The 17,981-nt window shown below is 35.3% G+C and overlaps 1 protein-coding gene across 10 annotated transcripts in view; it reads left to right on the top strand.

Annotated features, from left to right (window-relative positions):
- Positions 1–17,981, top strand: part of TSC22D1 (TSC22 domain family member 1) — a 145,202-nt gene that overhangs the window by 25,472 nt on the left and 101,749 nt on the right. For 2 of the 10 annotated variants that reach the window (XM_047430718.1, XM_047430717.1), the window contains exons 3-4: positions 11,950–12,106; positions 12,985–14,771. The exons of 4 other annotated variants lie outside the window; for them this stretch is intronic. In XM_047430718.1, coding sequence (XP_047286674.1) covers positions 11,950–12,106; positions 12,985–13,002 — 175 coding nt within the window. In that variant the 3' untranslated portion in view covers positions 13,003–14,771. Of the gene's footprint in view, positions 1–10,620; positions 14,772–17,981 lie in introns of those variants that run through there. 4 more of the 10 variants (XR_001749705.3, XM_047430719.1, XM_017020810.3 and 1 more) reach the window with 4 other exon arrangements.

The raw sequence follows: 17,981 nt of genomic DNA, 5'->3' as shown, positions 1-17,981 counted from the left end.
CTAGAGTGTAGTGGCACAATCATAGCTCACTGCAGCCTCGAACACCTGACCTCAAGCATTCCTCCCAACTCAGTCTCCCAAAGTGTTGGGATTACAGGTCTGAACCACTGTACCCAGCCTATGTCAAAATCTTTAAAATACCAGCTGATGGCGGCCGGGCACGATGGCTCACACCTGTAATCCCACCACTTTGGGAGGCCAAGGCAGGTGGATCGCTTGAGCCTAGGAGTTCAAGACCAGCCTGCCCAACATGGTGAAACCTCGTCTCTACTAAGAACACAAAAATTAGCCAGGCGTGGTGGCACGCTTATGTAATCCCAGCTACTTGGGAGGCTGAGGCACGAGAATTGCTTGAACCTGGGAGGCAGAGTTTGCAGTGAGCTAAGATTGTGCCACTGCATTCCAGCCTGGGCAACAACAGAGTGAGACTCTGTCTCAGACACACACACACACACACACACACACACACACACACACACACACCCATCTGATTGGGGTTTTGGGTTTTTGTTTTAGTTTTTGAGACAGGGTCACACACACACACACACACACACACACACACCCCCAGCTGATTGGGGTTTTGGGTTTTTGTTTTAGTTTTTGAGACAGGGTCTTGCTCTGTCACCCAGGCTGGAGTGTAGTGGTGAGATCTTGGATCACTGCCACTTCTGCCCCCAGGCTCAAGCGATTCTCCCACCTCAGTTTCCCTGAGTAACCAGGACTGCAGGTACATGTCACCATGCCTAATTCTTGCTTTTGTTTTTTGAGATGGGATTCCATTCTGTTGCCCAGGCTGGAGTACAGTGGTGCAATCACAGCTCACTGCAGCCTCAATTTCCCCAAGCTCAGGTGATCCTCCCACCTCAGCCTCTTGAGTAGCTGAGACTACAGGTGGGCGCCACCATGCCCGGTTTATTTTTATTTTTTTTTTTTGAGACTGGATCTCACTTTGTCACCCAGGCTGGAGTACAGTGGCAGTCATAGCTCATTGCAGCCTCAACCTCCAGGGCTCAAGTGATTCTCCCACGTTGGCCTCCCGAATAGCTGGGACCACAGATGTGTGCCACCACACTTGGCTAATATTAAATTTTTGTAGAGATGGAGTCTCACTATGTTGCCCAGGCTGGGCTGATTGGTTTTGAAGGAAGTAGGGAAATAAACTTTTCTTCTATTTAGAAATACTATAATCTGGTATTCTGAATAATATTTTAAGAAGTGGCTTATTAAAAACTGAAGGGAATGTACACTAGCTTCACTTCTTTTCTTTTTTTCTTTTTTTTTTTTTTCCCCGAGACAGAGTTTCACTCTTGTTGCCCAGGCTGGAGTGCAATGGTGCAATCTCGGCTCACTGCAGCCTCTGTCTCCCAGGTTCAGGCAATTCTCCTTCCTCAGCCCCTCAAGTAGCTGGGATTACAGGCATGCGCCACCACACCTGGCTAATTTTTGTATTTTTAGTAGAGATGGGATTTCACCATGTTAGTCAGGCTGGTCTCGAACTCCTGACCTCAGGTGATCCACCCACCCGGCCTCCCAAAGTGCTGGGATTACAGACATGAGCCACCGTGCCCGGCTGCTTTATTTCTTAATGGAGCTTGCCAAATAAAGAACTTGAGTTCTAGTAATATTAGCACTTTCAAAGACATAAACTAAGATCCGTTGTGGCTTTTGTGAAGTTTTACTGATAGTTATTACAATGTTAACTAGACTCCACATACTTTTTAAATCAAAGCATATTTTTAAAATTGTTAATTTAATGGTGGGTTGATGTTCTTTCTTAATACCTTTTCATTTTCTTTTTGGCAACATTTTACTTTCCAGACGTGGATTAGTCGCTATCAAAATTTTATTCCTAAAATGTTTGGAAAGTGGAAATAGCTGTGGAAACTGTGAATAGTCAGTAAGGTAGCAGGATTCAAATTATTTTTTCCAGTATTGACATTTAGAATGTCATGTTGGACATTTAAAATTTTTCTGGTTTGTAGCCTCATTACTGTATAGAAATCAACTACCAGATGAGTAGTTGACAGACACAGCTAGCTTGGTTGCTTGCTTGCTGTTCTTGCCGCCGCCGCCTTCTTCTTTTTTTTTTTTTTTTTCTTTTTTTTTGAGGCAGGGTTTGGCCCTGTTCCCCAGGCTGGAATGCAATGGTGTGATCTCAGCTCACTGCAACCTCTGCCTCCTTGGGCTCAAGCCACCCTCCCACCTCAGCCTCTCCAAGTAGCTGGGACTACAGGTGTGCGCAACCATGCCTGGCTAATTTTTTGTAGAGATAGGATTTCACCATGTTGCTTAGGCTGGTCTTGAACTCCTGAGCTCAAGAGATCCTCTCTCCTCAGCCTCCTAATGTGTTGGGATTACAGGCCTGATCCACTGTGCCCAGCCCAGGCTTTCTTAATTTCTGAGTTTGCTGAAATGGGCCCTAAGGCTGAGGATGCCTTCTGAGATTGGTGGAAGCTACTGATATTTCCTTGTCACTTTAGGCTCAATTGCTGTATAAGTTATAATAAGATAGAGTAGATTAAAGGATTTATTTGTAAGTAGATGTGTTCTGTCTTTTACAAAACCTACCCCACTTTATTGATAAAGAATTGGAAAGCGCCCTGTTTTAACTAAAATGTTGATTGCTTCTGCAGATGTCTAATATCATATTTATATTTTTTATTAAATTCAAGTTGAGATAAGGCAATGACCTTTTCATCTTATTATATACGGAGGAACTTGAATAGATATATTGTAAGCTATCATAAGTAATACTTAAAATATATTAAAATTCAGGTCAGCCACAGCATTCATACAGATTATTATCTATTCTGTAATAAACTAAAGACTGTTTCTCTGGGTCTTTAAGCAGAATTGAGCTCTGAATCTAGTTTATTATTGTCAGATTATTATTTTAATCATGCTTATAACAAATGGTGACTTAAACTGTTGCTATAATGTTTACATTATGTTAGGATAATAAAACTTATTAAATTATGAAGTTCTTGTACATTTAAAAGTCTATCTTATATATTTGTTATGCAAATCAATAGATATGTATCAGGTAAACTAGAAATTCTAGTTAGAAAAAATCCTTTTTGTGTCTTGGTTTTTGAAGATACTTAAAAGGTGAAAGGAATTTCTGATTACCATTTTAACATGTTTAGATATGGGCTTTTTAGTTTCAATAGAAACATCTTTTCCTAGATTATCTTGCTGGTATTAAGTTGTTAAATTTTGCTACGCTTTATTTTGAAGTTTTACTGTCTTGTAAAACTCCATATTTTTACATAGTTTTACTGTCTTGTAAAATTCCCTATTTCTTAGGTTGATAGAAATGGCAAAACAAGTTAACTTGCTTAAGCTTAGCTTGCTTAACTGTCAATTGATGTATGTTTAAATGAATTTGAAGTTGTTTCAGAATTCTACTTAAAACAGTATGTTTATTCTAGCTTTTATCATACACTAAGTATTTATTTATTTGAGATGGAGTCTCACTCTGTCACCCAGGCTGGAGTGCAGTGACGTGTCTCTATTTTAGTAGAGACGGGGTTTCGCCATGTTGGCCAGGCTGGTCTCTAACTCCTGACCTCAAGTGATCGGCCTGCCTCAGCCTCCCAAAGTGCTGGGATTACAGGCATGCGCCACCGCGCCCAGCCCCAGTCTATATACTAAGTATTTAAAAAGAAGTACTCAGTTGTTAATCAAAATAATATGATTTGGAAAAATGTAAATTAAACCTCAGAGTCCTAGAGTCAAACTGGTTTTGAATTTCCTGTTCTTTACTAGACATGTGATCTTAGGTGAGTTAGTTCACCACTTTGTGCTTTAGTTTCCTTATCAAGTAAAGTTGTGATAATAATATTCCATATATGATAGGGTTATGCTAAAGATTGAATGAGGCAATATATATAAAATGCATAATACAGTGCATAATAATAATGCACACAGTGGCAAGTTCCTGTAGTTCCAGCTACTTGGGTAGCTGAGACAGGAGGATTGCTTGAGCCCAGGAGTTCGAGGCTGTAGTGTGCCGTGATTGTACCCGTAACTAGCCACTGCATTCCAGCCTGGGCATCATAGGAAGACCTTGTTTCTCTTTTTTTAAAAGCATAATACATTACCTACCATATACTAAGCTCTCAGTAAGTTAAAAATTAAAACAAAAAGTTATGAATATTTACCTGTAACCAACTTTGTAAGTGAAGGTATTAATACATTGGAGTTTATCTCTTGAATTTTAATTTAAAAAAAGGAAGGAGGATATTTATGGCACTAAACTCTATTTCCTGCGAAAATTTTTGAAGAAACAAATGAGGAGAAGGTCTTCAGTTTTAATAATGCAGGAATAAACATACATGATAATGTAAATTGGAAAGAACTTTTGCTTTTTTGTTCACCTGTTCTATGATATGCTTGCTGTAGTCTGGAGTTAATTTCCACACTTGCTATTTAATGTAAACATTGTTTTTCTATTTGTAGGAAAGATTTTCCCTTTTGATCTCTCACATATTATCTTCTGAATTAAAGTTCTCTAGAGAACTGTTTACCAAAGGGAAAGAAAAAGACTATTAACATCTGGTTACTTTTCTGATATTAGTACAGAACATGACATAATGCTATCATTTCCATTAGGATTAGCTTTTAAAGAAAGATTGGACTAAATTTTTCATCTGAATGAAAAATCGGAGATTTATGTTTCTTAATTTCTCAGTGGATATTCCATAGGCGTGTCGAGTATGGAACCATATTCAGGATGTTTTGTTCTATATTTTTAATTTTCTATTGAAATAATTTTAGACTTACCAAAAGTTGCAAAAATTTAGTACACAGGCTTGGTGTGGTGGCTCATGCCTGTAATCTCACCATTTTGGGAGACTGAGGCAGGCACATTACTTAAGCCCAGGAGTTCAAGACCAGCCTGGGCAACATGATGAAACTCTGTCTCTACAAAAATTAGCCAAGCATGGTGGTGTGTCCCTGTAGTCCCAGGTACTAGTGAGGCTGAGGTGGGAGGTTCGCTCGTCAGGGAAGTGGACATTGCAGTGAGCCACGATTGTTTCAGCGCATCCTAGCCTGGGCGACAGAGCCACACCCTAAGTACATACATACATACCTACACACACACACACACACACACACACGTATTTCACACAGAATTCCCATATACCTGTCACCCAGCTTTCCTTAATGTTTGTATCATGTATAACCATAGTACAGAAGTCAGGAAATTAATACCAACTACTCTAGGCATTTTTGAATTTTGACCTTGTCTACTAAATGATCTTTTTCTGGTCCAGGATCCAGTTTAGGAATTCATATTGTACTTGGTTGTCATATCTCCTTAATCTCCTTTAATCTAGGCCTGCTCTTCATTCTTTCTTTCCTTTCATGACTTTGACACTTTTGAAGAATACTAGGTAGTTTCATTGGTCCTTAATCTGTGCGTTTTTGGCAAGGATATGACAGAAGTGATGGTATATTCTTATTAGTAGATAAGGAGGTACATGATTGTGATCCATCCCATTATTGGTGATGTCATCTTGATCATTTGGTTAAGGAGGTGCCTGCCAGGTTTCTAAACTATCAAGTTACTGTTTTTCACTTTGTAATTAACACATGTCTTGGGAATATTTTGAGACTGTGTAAATAATCTTATTTCTCATCATACTTCCATTAATTTTAGTATCCATTGATGATTCTTGCTTGATCAGAATCTTTTACATTTAATTATTTAACATCTTTTTTTGTTTCATTGACTGATACATTATTTTCCTTGTCATAAATGGATAAAGACCCAAAGGAATTAATGTAAAGGCAGCCTAATTCGCAAAACGTAAGTGGTTTTGTTGCTATGGTCTTTCTTTTCTTTTTTATCTATTTGTATTTGTATTTTTATTTATTTATTTTTTTTTTTGAGACGGAGTCTCGCTCTGTCACCCAGGCTGTAGTGCAGTGGCGCGATCTTGGCTCACTGCAACCTTTGCCTGCTGGATTCAAGTGATTCTTGTGCTTCAGCCTCCCAAGTAGCTGGGATTACAGGCATGCACCATCACACCTGGCTAATTTTTGTATTTTTAGTAGAGACGGGGTTTCACCATGTTGGCCAGGCTGGTCTTGAACTCCTGGCCTCAAGTGATCCACCCGCCTTGGCCTCCCAGAATGCTGAGATTACAGGTGTGAGCCAGCACGCCTGGCCTGGTCTTTCATGTTTTCTGAGTTTTCTAAGTGCACTCTTATGAACGTAACGCAACCCAAGATCCTAGAATGAAAAAATACAGTAGGAAGATTATCCTTTTTTTTTTTTTTTTCAGTACCTTATAGGTCCAAAATGTGCTGCTGGCCATTATAAGAATAAAGCTAAATATTTCATGCTAGCAAGACGAAGAAGACACTAGCGAGGTAAAAGTAATGGATAGGTTAATTATGAAAAAAGTATTTGTTAGAGCAATTTAGAGATCTTCTTAAAATTACTAAGGTTTTTTTAATGACATATACTAGCCTTTTTCACTTTAAGGAGTCAGTGGCAAATTTAAGCTTTATTTATTTATTTATTTTTTGAGACAGAATCTCGCTTGTTGCCCAGGCTAGAGTGCAGTGGTGTGATCTCGGCTCATTGCAACCTCCACCTCCCGGGTTCAAGCGATTCTCTTGCCTCAGCCTCCCACGTAGCTGGGACTACAGGCGTGTGCCACCACACCCGGCTGATTTTTGTATTTTTTATTAGAGATGGGTTTTACCATGTTGGCCAGGCTGGTCTTGAACTCCTGACTTCAGGTGATCCGCCTACCTTGGCCTCCCAAGTGCTGAGATTTCAGGCGTGAGCCACTGTGCCCTGCCAAATTTAATCATTTTTATATTTAGTTTTCTTGACCCTTAGGTTGCCTTATCCTTTTTTATAGTCAATATAGTTTATGCAACTGTGTTTCTATGATTGCCTTTTATCTTTTATTCTATAGTGAATTAACTACTCTAAAATATATATATTGTAGATTGTTTCTTTTTCATCTGTTTTACTTCATCTTCTACCTCAGTGGAGCATGAACACATTTGGGTTATCTGTTGGTTGTCTTTTAACAAATACTTGATATTTATATCTAGTGGACTAACTTGAATACCGGTAACATTTTCAGATGGTATATTTTCCAAAAGGTTGAAGAGAAAATATACAGATAATGGAATTTGGCTAGATGTTGAGCTCTAAAAATGCTTTAATAGTTAGGTTTTTCTGTTTTCATTACAGCTTTCTTCTCTTTTAGGAAATTACTGTCCATGATTAAGCACATATCCTCTTGATGGTATTCAGCCCCTTAAGTTCAGACTTCCTTCCCGTTGGTTTTTTTTTTTTTTAATTAAAAAAAAAATTCTTTTTAACACACAACTTTGCTCAGAGTCTTCCCTATTTTTTTTCAAAAAATGTGTATTCCATTTGATAATACACACAAGATTTATGGTTTAGAAATAATCTTTACCTCCAGTGTCAGTACAATACCTTAGTTAACTAATTCCGAAGAACTTGGGTGGGTTTTTTTTTTTTGCCTTTTTGTTTTGTTATCGGGTAAGATCTCTCCCTTTTTGAAATTGGATATTCTGGCAGTATCTGGTTTTTGTACTACTTTTAAATCTCTGAAAAAGAATATTAGAAATCTGTAATTGTTGCAATTTGGCTAACATTTGTATCATCTCTCAGGATAATACCTTTGAAATTTCTGCTAACTATACTAAAAAATTAATCCTTAGAAGTTGACGACCCCAAAAAGAGATGGATACATGAAAGTTTATTTTTTATTTTTTATTTTTTGAGACGGAGTCTTGCTGTGTCACCCATGCTGGAGTGCAATGGCACAGTCTCAGCTCACTGCAACCTCTGCCTCCCAGGCTCAGGCGGTTCTCCTCCTTCAGCCTCCCGAGTAGGTGGGACTACAGGTGAGCGCCACCATGCCCAGCTAATTTTTTGTATTTTTAGTAGAGACAAGGTTTCACCATGTTGGCCAGTCTGGTCTTGAACTCCTGACCCCAGGTGATCGGCCCACCTCAGCTTCACAAAGTGCTGGGATTACAGGCGTGAGCCATGGTGCCTGGCCGAAAGTTATACTTTTGATAAATTTTTTGTTTTCTTTAGGATTAGAAAGTTGAACTTTTTAGTGTCTACTTTAGATATCGGCCACTTGACAAAATTCTCCTTTGTTTTTTGATCAGTAACTTATTTGTAAAGCATTTACTGAGTTACCTATTCCGTGTGCCAAGCACTTTTCTAGGGTCTAGAGATAAAAGACACACTGCTTCTGTTAAGCATGTTCTTTCCTTTTCTTCTTACTGCCAGCTAGGACTGTTTTGGATACTTAGAGGAATTTGTGAAGAATTTGTTTTCTTTGTAGAAGTGCCTTAGAACCAGTATGAATGGGTGATAATAGGTAAAGAATAAAAAGATACTTCCAATGTATGTAGAATGTCCAGGTTAATGAATAATCGGTAAATTTATAAACCATTAAGTTCAACTTTAGATCAGTCAGTTGTAGCACATTTGAGTAGAAATCAGTCTTTGTAGAAACATAGTGCCTTCTATTTCATAGCTTAAATAGGTGTAGCCTTCCCTTATGCTTAGATATTAGAAATGCTTAAAACTAATAAGCTGTGTATGCTCATTTCATAATTTAATATTGAGAACAAATATTGCAAACAGCCTAATTTGATGTACTTCTCATAAAATTTTCTCAGTGGTATTTATATATAAAATACTGCTTCTGATTTGAATATACATGGATTTTCAGTAAGAATCTTTAAAAATTTCATTATTTACAGAAAATGTTAAAATGATTTCATTGATGTACTGGTAGGTTAATAGATCTATAACAGCCATTTGAGGTAGCAGCTTAGCATTGCTGATTTTGTTAGCTTTGGTTTGAAATTTTTTCTCTAGTGGTTGAAATGTAAGTCTTGCAGTGTAATAAATATTTCTCCCTCTTAAAATATCACATAGAAGAATGTTGTCCACTAAAATAGAATTAGGTAAGGGCTTCCTGTATCATTTTTAGGAGCTTCCATCAATAATATTCTCACAAAGGCTGCACTTTCTTTTTCAAATAATGACCCCATTTTGAAAGCATCTTTACATTTTTTATATAAATGATACATTATCAAATTCAGAGTCTTCATAAATTATTAACTCTTAAAGCAAGCTCTCTTTACCAGCTCTCCTCAGTGATTTCAAAATAATTTCTACTTAGAGAAATCTGCTTATTCATTTCTGAGTATGAGTGTTGAATTATTATGTTTTGGTACTTCAGGCAAAATAAAGAAGTTATATTCTGAAAGCGTTCTGACTTAGGGGAAGTTTGTAAAGATTCATTTTCTCCAGTGAGCTCTCATATTTAACTTGTTGTGTAACTTAACCTTCGGACATTTGGTTTTTTAAATCTAAGTTTGTTGTACTTTTTATCTATATTATACTGTGGTGTGTGATAAATAAAGATTTGGATGCATTTAACGTAAAGTTCCTGTTGTAGGAGAAATTCTAAATTTAGACCAATATTAATCTGAGCAAGATCTGGTTTTTTGTGAGTTGTTTTTCATTTTCAAAGTGAAGTAGGCCTGTAAACTTAAAAATGAAAATTACGAGGTGTATTTCCTATATCAAAATGTACCTCTTTCTTTTTGCCTGTATTTTCACTCACCTATATATTATTATGGATTAGTATTCAAGAACTGAAGGAAAACTATTGGAAAGTTAACTATTGAAAACGACTGGAAAGGAAACTAAAGGAAATTTGGAAAATCGTATCTTAATTATAATTTCTGAATAGGTTTTAAACTATTTTAAAGTAGTTAAGTTTTACTTAGATTTCATTAATTTAGAAATCTTAGATAATTTTCATGGTTGATATTGAGCTATTACTATATGAAAAAGAATAATTTGTCAAGGAAATTGATTAGAAAAGGCTAGAGGATGATTGTTTAATAAATAATTTTTAAAGCACTTTTATAGCACCTATTTGCACCATATAGGTACTGTGAAAATGTATGTAGATAGCTCCAACGTACTGATTTTAAGCCTTTTTCCTCTGTTAAAGAGCCACTCCTTAACAACTCCAGCTGTGGAATGCTTTGTTAATCTACTAGGGTGTTTTAGACTCTTGAAACTACTTAATTAGATTGCATTTGTTAAGATTCAGCATTCAGATCCTTTTTCTAATCTGTGCTCCTTTCTTCTTATCATCCATCATATACCTCCTCATTGTGATTATACTGTAAAATACTTTTTAAAGCCTACTGATCTAAAGATACAGTCTTTTAAATACTAAAAGGCTTTTGGACTTAAAATCTGTTGGAAGCTTAAATTGAAAAAATAGCTGCCACTTTAGGTGCATAAAGTACTTTCATAATTATTTGATACCTCTTGTTAGATGGCAGTTTCACCTTCTTCTTTCCAGTTTCTTTTTTCTTTTCTTTAATATTTGGTAATTGCAGATTTGATGGTTAAATTCATAGGTTTTCTTTACTTAGGCCAAACTGTCATTTCTCATTTGTACAGAATTGGATATGTCCCTGTGCAGAAGGGTTAGCTCATTCTTTTCATCTTTAAGCTTTTAAAATTACTTAGTCTAAATGTTGTTAGGTAATGGAATAACCATTCCTTTTCAGCTTTTGGTACATTTCCAAACTGGCTGGCAGAGCCAGGAGGAAGTGAAGGCATTAGAAACACTAACTTTGGTTGGTTGCTACCGTCTTAGTGCTGAGACTATAACCTTTGTTGGTTGATTGATAGAGAACAAGAGAACACAATCCTCGTTCCACTAACAGGTAAGGAACCCTTGTGATAACTAGTTGGTATGAGAGGGAGATTACTTGATAGCATTTCATAAAAACTTTATCCCAAAATATAACATGTCCTAGAAATAGGATACTGTGACTGACTGTACTCCGTAGAACAAGGATACGCAGCACCTTTATATTTAGAATAAGATCTGAAATTTAATAGGGATGTATTACTCTGTACCACAAAGCATAATTGATCTGTTTTCCAAAGGCAACACTGTTAAAATTTATCCTGCAGTCCCTGTAACTTTAAATATGTATCTGCCTATCTTATTCTCCTTTCAGCTTTTCCTTGATCAGATGCTATGTGCTTTGAACTTCCTTCTCTTATTTATTCCTATAATAAAGCTAACTATTTTCTAGTATCTTTGCCATCATCTATAATTTGGGTATATCTTACTGCTTTAATTTCTATGTTATAGCCATTAATGATTATTCCTGGTTCTTCTTGACCCAAAAGAAAATGATTATGCATTTTAAAAAGGATTTTGAGTCTGTATTGCCTATATCCACTATTCTGCCTTCCCAGTTTTAAAGCTGAGTGCTTGAAGAATAAATCTTTTCAGTGACAGTAGTCATAAGCTTTCATAAAATATAGGCTTAGCTTTGTATTGCTATAATATGGGCCTATAGTGTGATTAATTCTTTAAGTTAATGAAGACTTGAACTCAGAGAAGAAATTCAGCTTCTTAGACTTTCCCAAAGTTTAGTAGTATTCCTGTTAATATACTTGGTTTTTTCTGTTTCTACTTTTCAGTCCATCTTCTTTTCTTTGACAGAAGAATTAACTGGGACTCCTCCTTTGATATATCTGAGGTTGTGTGCCTTTTCCCTGTCCCTTAAAGACAACTATGATCTTGTTTCCAGTCATAATTTATCATTTTTGATTTGGTCTTCCACTCAGAGTTGAGTGGTTTATCACAGAGTGTGTTATGGCTTAGACCAATACAGGTCCCTTCTTAATAGTTACTGAGGAATTAATCATTTGTGGTGACAGACTTCTAAAATTCAAATTAAGAAGGCACTAAAGAAAGTATGCCCAAAGGTAGCTCCTTTTTATCCTGAGGATTAAGCCATTACAAACTCAAATGACCAGAGAATGTAATTTCTTAATAAGAATTTTTCCTTAAATCTATATTCAGCTCTCTATTTCAGTGCTTCTCTCCTACCAGAGGTGCAAGGAGTGATCCTAGAACCACAGATACAGCCAAGACCACGGAGAGCTTTTGACGTCAGGGGTCCACTTTCTCCACTGAACCCTTGGAGACAGAATATCCAGCTTCTGGAGAGAGTGGGAAAGGATAATAAACAAGTGGGTGCTTTCCATTATTTACTTGGGTTAATTTATAGATTGGAGTGTCCTTCCATTGCCCATTTAATTCTGTGGTAAACTCCTTGGGTTCATTTAAGAACCAGGTGGGACTGCAATCTGTTTTGTTTTTCTGAGAATGCTAACTAGTACTCATTCAAAAATGAGACCTAAAATTTAATTTTCTCTCCAGATAATTAAAGCAGTGGATGATTTGGGGCACATGATTTGACGAATGCCTATGTAGTCCACAGGAATTTTAAAACGGGAATATCTACCCATTTTGGCCTTTGTGGTATTAGTGGACTTCTAAGTGCTCTTTTATATTCAAGTAATTTAAAAGGTTCTGTATTTCATCTTTGGGCAAACTGGACATTTGAAGTCTAATTTATACAGTCACATGTCCAAGTGTTATCCTACACTGTTAGTGAGAACCTTTTGGTCTTCTTCCTACCTCAAATGTTAGGACTTCATATTAGATCTTTTAAAAGATGCAATGATAGTACTATTATGGTTTTACTGTCAATTCTAGGCTCCATTCTTTAATAAAACATAAGTATGAATGAATGTAAGTTTCAGGATACAGTATCCCTGAAAGCTATGTTTAATATACTCAAAAGTCATTTTCTAGTCCCTAGGAATAAATATTTATGGTAAAAGAACCCTTTCCTAGATTTCCCCCATGGCATTAAGATGGTTTTCTCTTAGTTTCTTTGATGCCAAGGGTAGGATTTGATTCCAGGAAGTTCTTATCACCTACAATGGGTAGAATGTGAACTTGTTACCTTTGGCAAGTTTTCATTTTTCCTTGGTGGATTCCTTCTGTGACTCCAGGTATCTTGATAATGGGAGACTGGTTTATTTGTTCTTTAATTGCCCAGATTTCTTTCAACTGGTAAAACATCATACTTCTTCAGCAAAAGGAATTCTTCTAGCAGAGCCTTCATGGATGATATCTGTCACACATGCCAGCACCTGCAGTTTGGAAGGCAGTGGTGAATGGATCCATGCAATATGTCTAGAAGACACAAGGATGAGCCAGCCACCTGATCTTGTCATTTATAAACTTTTAAGAATTACTCTGGTTTACTTTTGGTCTGAAAATGGAAAGGCCCAAATAATGAAATAATCTTTTCAGATTGGAATTTTACATGGCCATGAAAATATTTCTTTCTATTCAGAAGACTGAAATAGAGGAAGCTTGAGAGACTCCTTTCTTTTAAAAGCGGCTCTCTGTATCTGTTTCATTTAAAACATTTGTGGGATTGAAAATCACCTTAATGAAGTAGGCAAACATTTTTTTAAGTAGTAGAGGAAGTCCAGAAAACTTAATGAAATGGTTTTTTTTGTTGCCTGACACTGAAAGTAACTAGTAAATAAAGGGTGAACTTCTTAATTATTCGAAAACTGCTTTTAATATTAGGATATACTCTTTTAGCTCATCTTCGCTGGTCTTGAGGCTTATTATAATTGTCAAATCAACAAAGTTTCTAATAGAGAAGTAGAAGAAATATCTTTTGAGATGTAAGTAGCTTGGTCTGTCTTCTAAAGTAATACATACCTGTTAAACTTGAGGTATTTTTTTCATACTGAAGGCATTCTAAAGTTTGGTACTGTCACAAAACAGTAGTTTACAGAGCAGAAGCACTTAGTATTAGAATAAGCCTGTAGGTGTGAAGGAATAAGTGTTGCAAAATAGTTATTTATCCAAGCTGTCAATTAATTGATTGAAGTAGTTATCAAAATGTTTCTGTTTCTTTCTTTGGTATCTATTAACTGGTCAGTCAAAAGCTATTAAAGAATGTTTTTAAAGTCACCTAATGCTGCCAGTTTGTTAAATTTGGTATACATTTTAAGAATAGACATTCTAGAGTTATTAATATGGAAGCAGCTAAAATGTTTTAGGAAATCTCAAAAGTTTTAGAAGCCACATTTGCTAAAGCATAACCTGCACTTAGTCTTTCTTGGCTATCTGTATTTTTTTCTCATTAATTATAAATAAATTTTTGTTAAGTATAGTATTTAAAAGTAAGTTTAAAGGTTCAATTTGAACTGAAATTTCCCCAGAGAGCTTTGAATTCCCATAAGTGATTACAGCTTTTACTCCCGACTTGTTTTTAGTAAATGTTAATAAGACAATTGGTTTACAAACACATATAAATTAAAAAAAACAACTGTCCATCGTTTTAGGAAGAACTGAAGGAACTAAAAATGATATTTGCTTGGAAATTAAGTTAGTTGAACTCTTTGAACCACAGTAGAAACCGCTTTGTGTGGCCTGTGAGATTATAAGCTTTTTGTTTCAGCTTTGAAGATGAAAAGTGATTTAATCTCTTAATCTCATGCTTTGATTGAATTTTAGCTCTGTTCCTTAAAATATGCAAAAGGAAATGTAAGTGCATTTCTAGTCACCTCATGCCACTACAAGCTATTTATTTAAAAGTGAAACTTTTTGTATATTATTGTGAACTGATTTGTTTATTTAAACTTTTATTTTGGTGAATTTACCTTTGAGTTTTTTTATATTTTATGTCACAAAATGAAGTCCTATATTTTTCAGTGTTTATGAATATTAATATAAACTATTTTTTTCTAGAATGACTAATTGTGTAATATCTGTATTATGTGATAATTTGAAATCTAATAAATATTTTCTCCATGAAAAAAATGCACTTACTGATAATGGCTTATTTCTGTTTCAGGAGTAGAAAGTGAAAACTGCAACAGTATTTTTAAATGTATTTTAATTTTCTGTGTCTTTCTCTAAATATTTCTGAATATGTATTCTTTCTGTGTGTTAGTTTTTTTTGTTTTTTTTTTTTTTTTTTTTTTTTTTTTTTTTTCAGAAAAATACTTTTTTGAACTGTTAAGGTGATTCTTCGTGGGGGTCACCAGTGAATGTATGAAATAGGTGATCTGTTTTGTATGTTTTTGCATTTTCCTGATTAGCATCATCTTTCCTGATTAGTTTCCAGAATTGGACTTTTTTAGATGCAATTTTTGTACCTCAATTTTGCAAACCATTAAAACTCTCTTGAGTTAATACTGTAAATATCAAGAGTAATTTGACCAAGTCTTTTAATGCTAGATTGATCAAAATATAACTCTTACAGAATAGCATCCAAAAACAGTTCCTTTACCCAGAAGAACATTTGAAAATAATGGCTGATTAGAGAACTATGCAATTCATAAGAACTGTTGAAATGAAAAATGTTTTGTATTTTAGTGTTCTACTTGCGCAAATAATTGTAGTGGGAGAAATCTTGGCCTCATAGTCTCTTGTTTTTAAATCTTATCAAGACAGCATGGAGAAGGGTAATATTTAGTTTTATTGATTCTTGTTTTTATAGCTACATAATTTTACTTAATTGAAGCCACAGGAACAATTTACCTTTTCTATGCAGGATTTGCTTAGAAGCAAGAGGATTTCCTTTCAGATTTGAAGAAAAGTTATTGAAGAAATGGACCCCCAAAATTAAAAATAACATTAAGATGGGGTCCTAGGCAAGAAGTAAAAATTGAATTAATGACAATTGGTGGATTAAAATGTAATAATTTGGCTCCCCAAAGAAATTAATACTCTGAAAGAAATCAAATTTCTAAAAGGCAGTTATGATTTAGAATAGCTGTTGTATTGGGGGTGGGGGAAAGGAAGCTAACATTCTTGGCTTTATTAACCTGGTAAGTTTGGAAAAAAAGTAAAGATTCTGTGCACAAAATTTTGTTTTTAGAATTAAAGCTATTAAAAGGTTTACAGACACAGTATATTTCAATGAAAGGCTGTATTTTATTTGAATATAAAAAAAATCTATAAGCTTTTCCTATATGTGTATGAAAGGGTAGGTTGGGCATGGAAGTTAAAATACACCCTGCATTGGAAACCTGAAAAATATTGCAAAGATAATGGTGACATGAGTTTTTAAAAAGTAATTTTTAAAACATAGACTCTCCTCTACATCATCAGTAACCTTCAAAATAAAAATACTACAGAATGTTGAATTTGGCTTACCATTGTATTTTTGAGGTATAGGAACATAGGCTTATGGTTTCACCATCACTGACGAGGTTAACTATAGTATAAAAATCTGTTTTGATTGTTCTTTAGTAAGGAAACAAATGGTTTTTTTTGTTTGTTTGTTTGTTTGTTTTTTGTAGCTTCTGTTTAAAAAAACATGACAAGCAGTGTGACTGCAAAGTCCTGACTTTATAGGTTATTGTAAATATGTACACAGATCTTATTTTCTTTGCCATATTGAAATACTCTGACAAATGTCAGTGCTTAGATGTCCTAAGCAATTTTTTTACTTTATTTTTATCCAGGTATTTTTGTTTCCCTTTAAAAATATTTCATAGTAATTTAGTCCTAAAATGTGAAAGACTTGTTTCAAAATTCAGCACTTAGGTACTCTGGAGTGTTTTTTCCACTAATATGTACATCTAAGGTAATTAGATTACTGCATTAAAAATGTTAGTGAACTTTGAAGTATTCATCGGAGTTTTCAGGAATTATGATCAAAGGGATCTCTGCTGAAGAGGTAAGGTATGGCATAGGTAGAAAAATATTCAAAATATGTTTAATGTTTGGATTATAATGTAAACTACAACAGGTATCCTTGGGTTTTCAGATAGATGGAGAATTAGGAAAATAATTTTTCTTAAAACTCTCAGAGAAGTGAAATTGATAAACCACAAATTTGTTTTTGTGTGGCTTTGGAGTGCATTTAGAAACATGTCCACAGACATTGTACTCTGTGTATATGTAGCCTCCAATATTCCAAGGCATTTCCTACCCCTGCTCTCAGCATTTATGATTCATATTTAATTTCTCAAGCCTGAGCACTGTAAAAATACTGTACTTTGGTAAGTTGAGTATATATTTCATGAGATTATTGCCTGGAATATTTTTGGCAAAATTTTTGCAGATTTTGGCAAAGCAAAAGGAAAGTACAATCTCCTTTTGGCTGTTTGTATTAAAATCTAGAACTTAGAAAACAATTGCTTGACTTAGAACTTTTATTTTGGTTTGAGAAATTAAGGAATTCTGTAAATGTTTACTTAGCACTGTAACTCGGAAGTCTTGTACTGAGGATCAAGAAATAATATTGTTGCCTGGTATATAAAATAATTGACAGGAGAAAGTGATATACTATTATTCTCTAGGGAATATTAAGTAGGTTCAAAGGGTTGTGTTAGGATAATAGCATATCTAGAAACAAAGAAAAATGCAATATTGAATATGGACAAGATAGGAAAATAGATTAGGACTTTTCCCCCTAGAATTAAATTACTAGTGTAATTTACTCAATAAAGGATAACATCGAAAAATGCAGTAATCCTGCATCATGTTTTTGAGTTCTTTAAAAAGAACTGCTAGTGGACATTTTTGGCTTTTTTTTTTTTTTTTTTTTAAGACGGGGTCTCACAGTGTCACCTAGGCTGGAGTGCAGTAGCACCATTATAGTTCACCAAGTGATCCTCTCGCCTCAGTTTTTTCTGCTACAGGCGTGCACTGCCATGTCTGCTTTTTTTTTTTTTTTTCTCCTTGAGACAGGGTCTTACTCTGTCGCTCAGGCTGCAGTGCAGTGGCTCAATCCTGGCTTACTGCAGCCTCGAACTCCCCAGGTTCAGGTGATCCTCCTACCTCAGCCTCTCAAGCTGGGACTATAGGTATGCACCACCATACCCAGCTAATTTTTGTATGTTTTTGCAGAGATGGAGTTTATGTCGCCCAGGCTGAGAAGTGATCCTCCCTCCTCAGTCTCCTAAAATGTTGAGATTACGGGCATGGGCTACTGCTCCTGGCCTGGCTTTTCTTAAAATAATTTGCTATTTATTCCACCTTACCTTTTGATGTAGAAAAAGTGATAATGTGAATCAA

Source organism: Homo sapiens, chromosome 13 (genome assembly GCF_000001405.40).
Source record: "Homo sapiens chromosome 13, GRCh38.p14 Primary Assembly".
NCBI lineage: Eukaryota > Metazoa > Chordata > Mammalia > Primates > Hominidae > Homo > Homo sapiens.
Note: the sequence above shows the minus strand (reverse complement) of the source record. Positions and strands in the feature narration are given on the sequence as shown.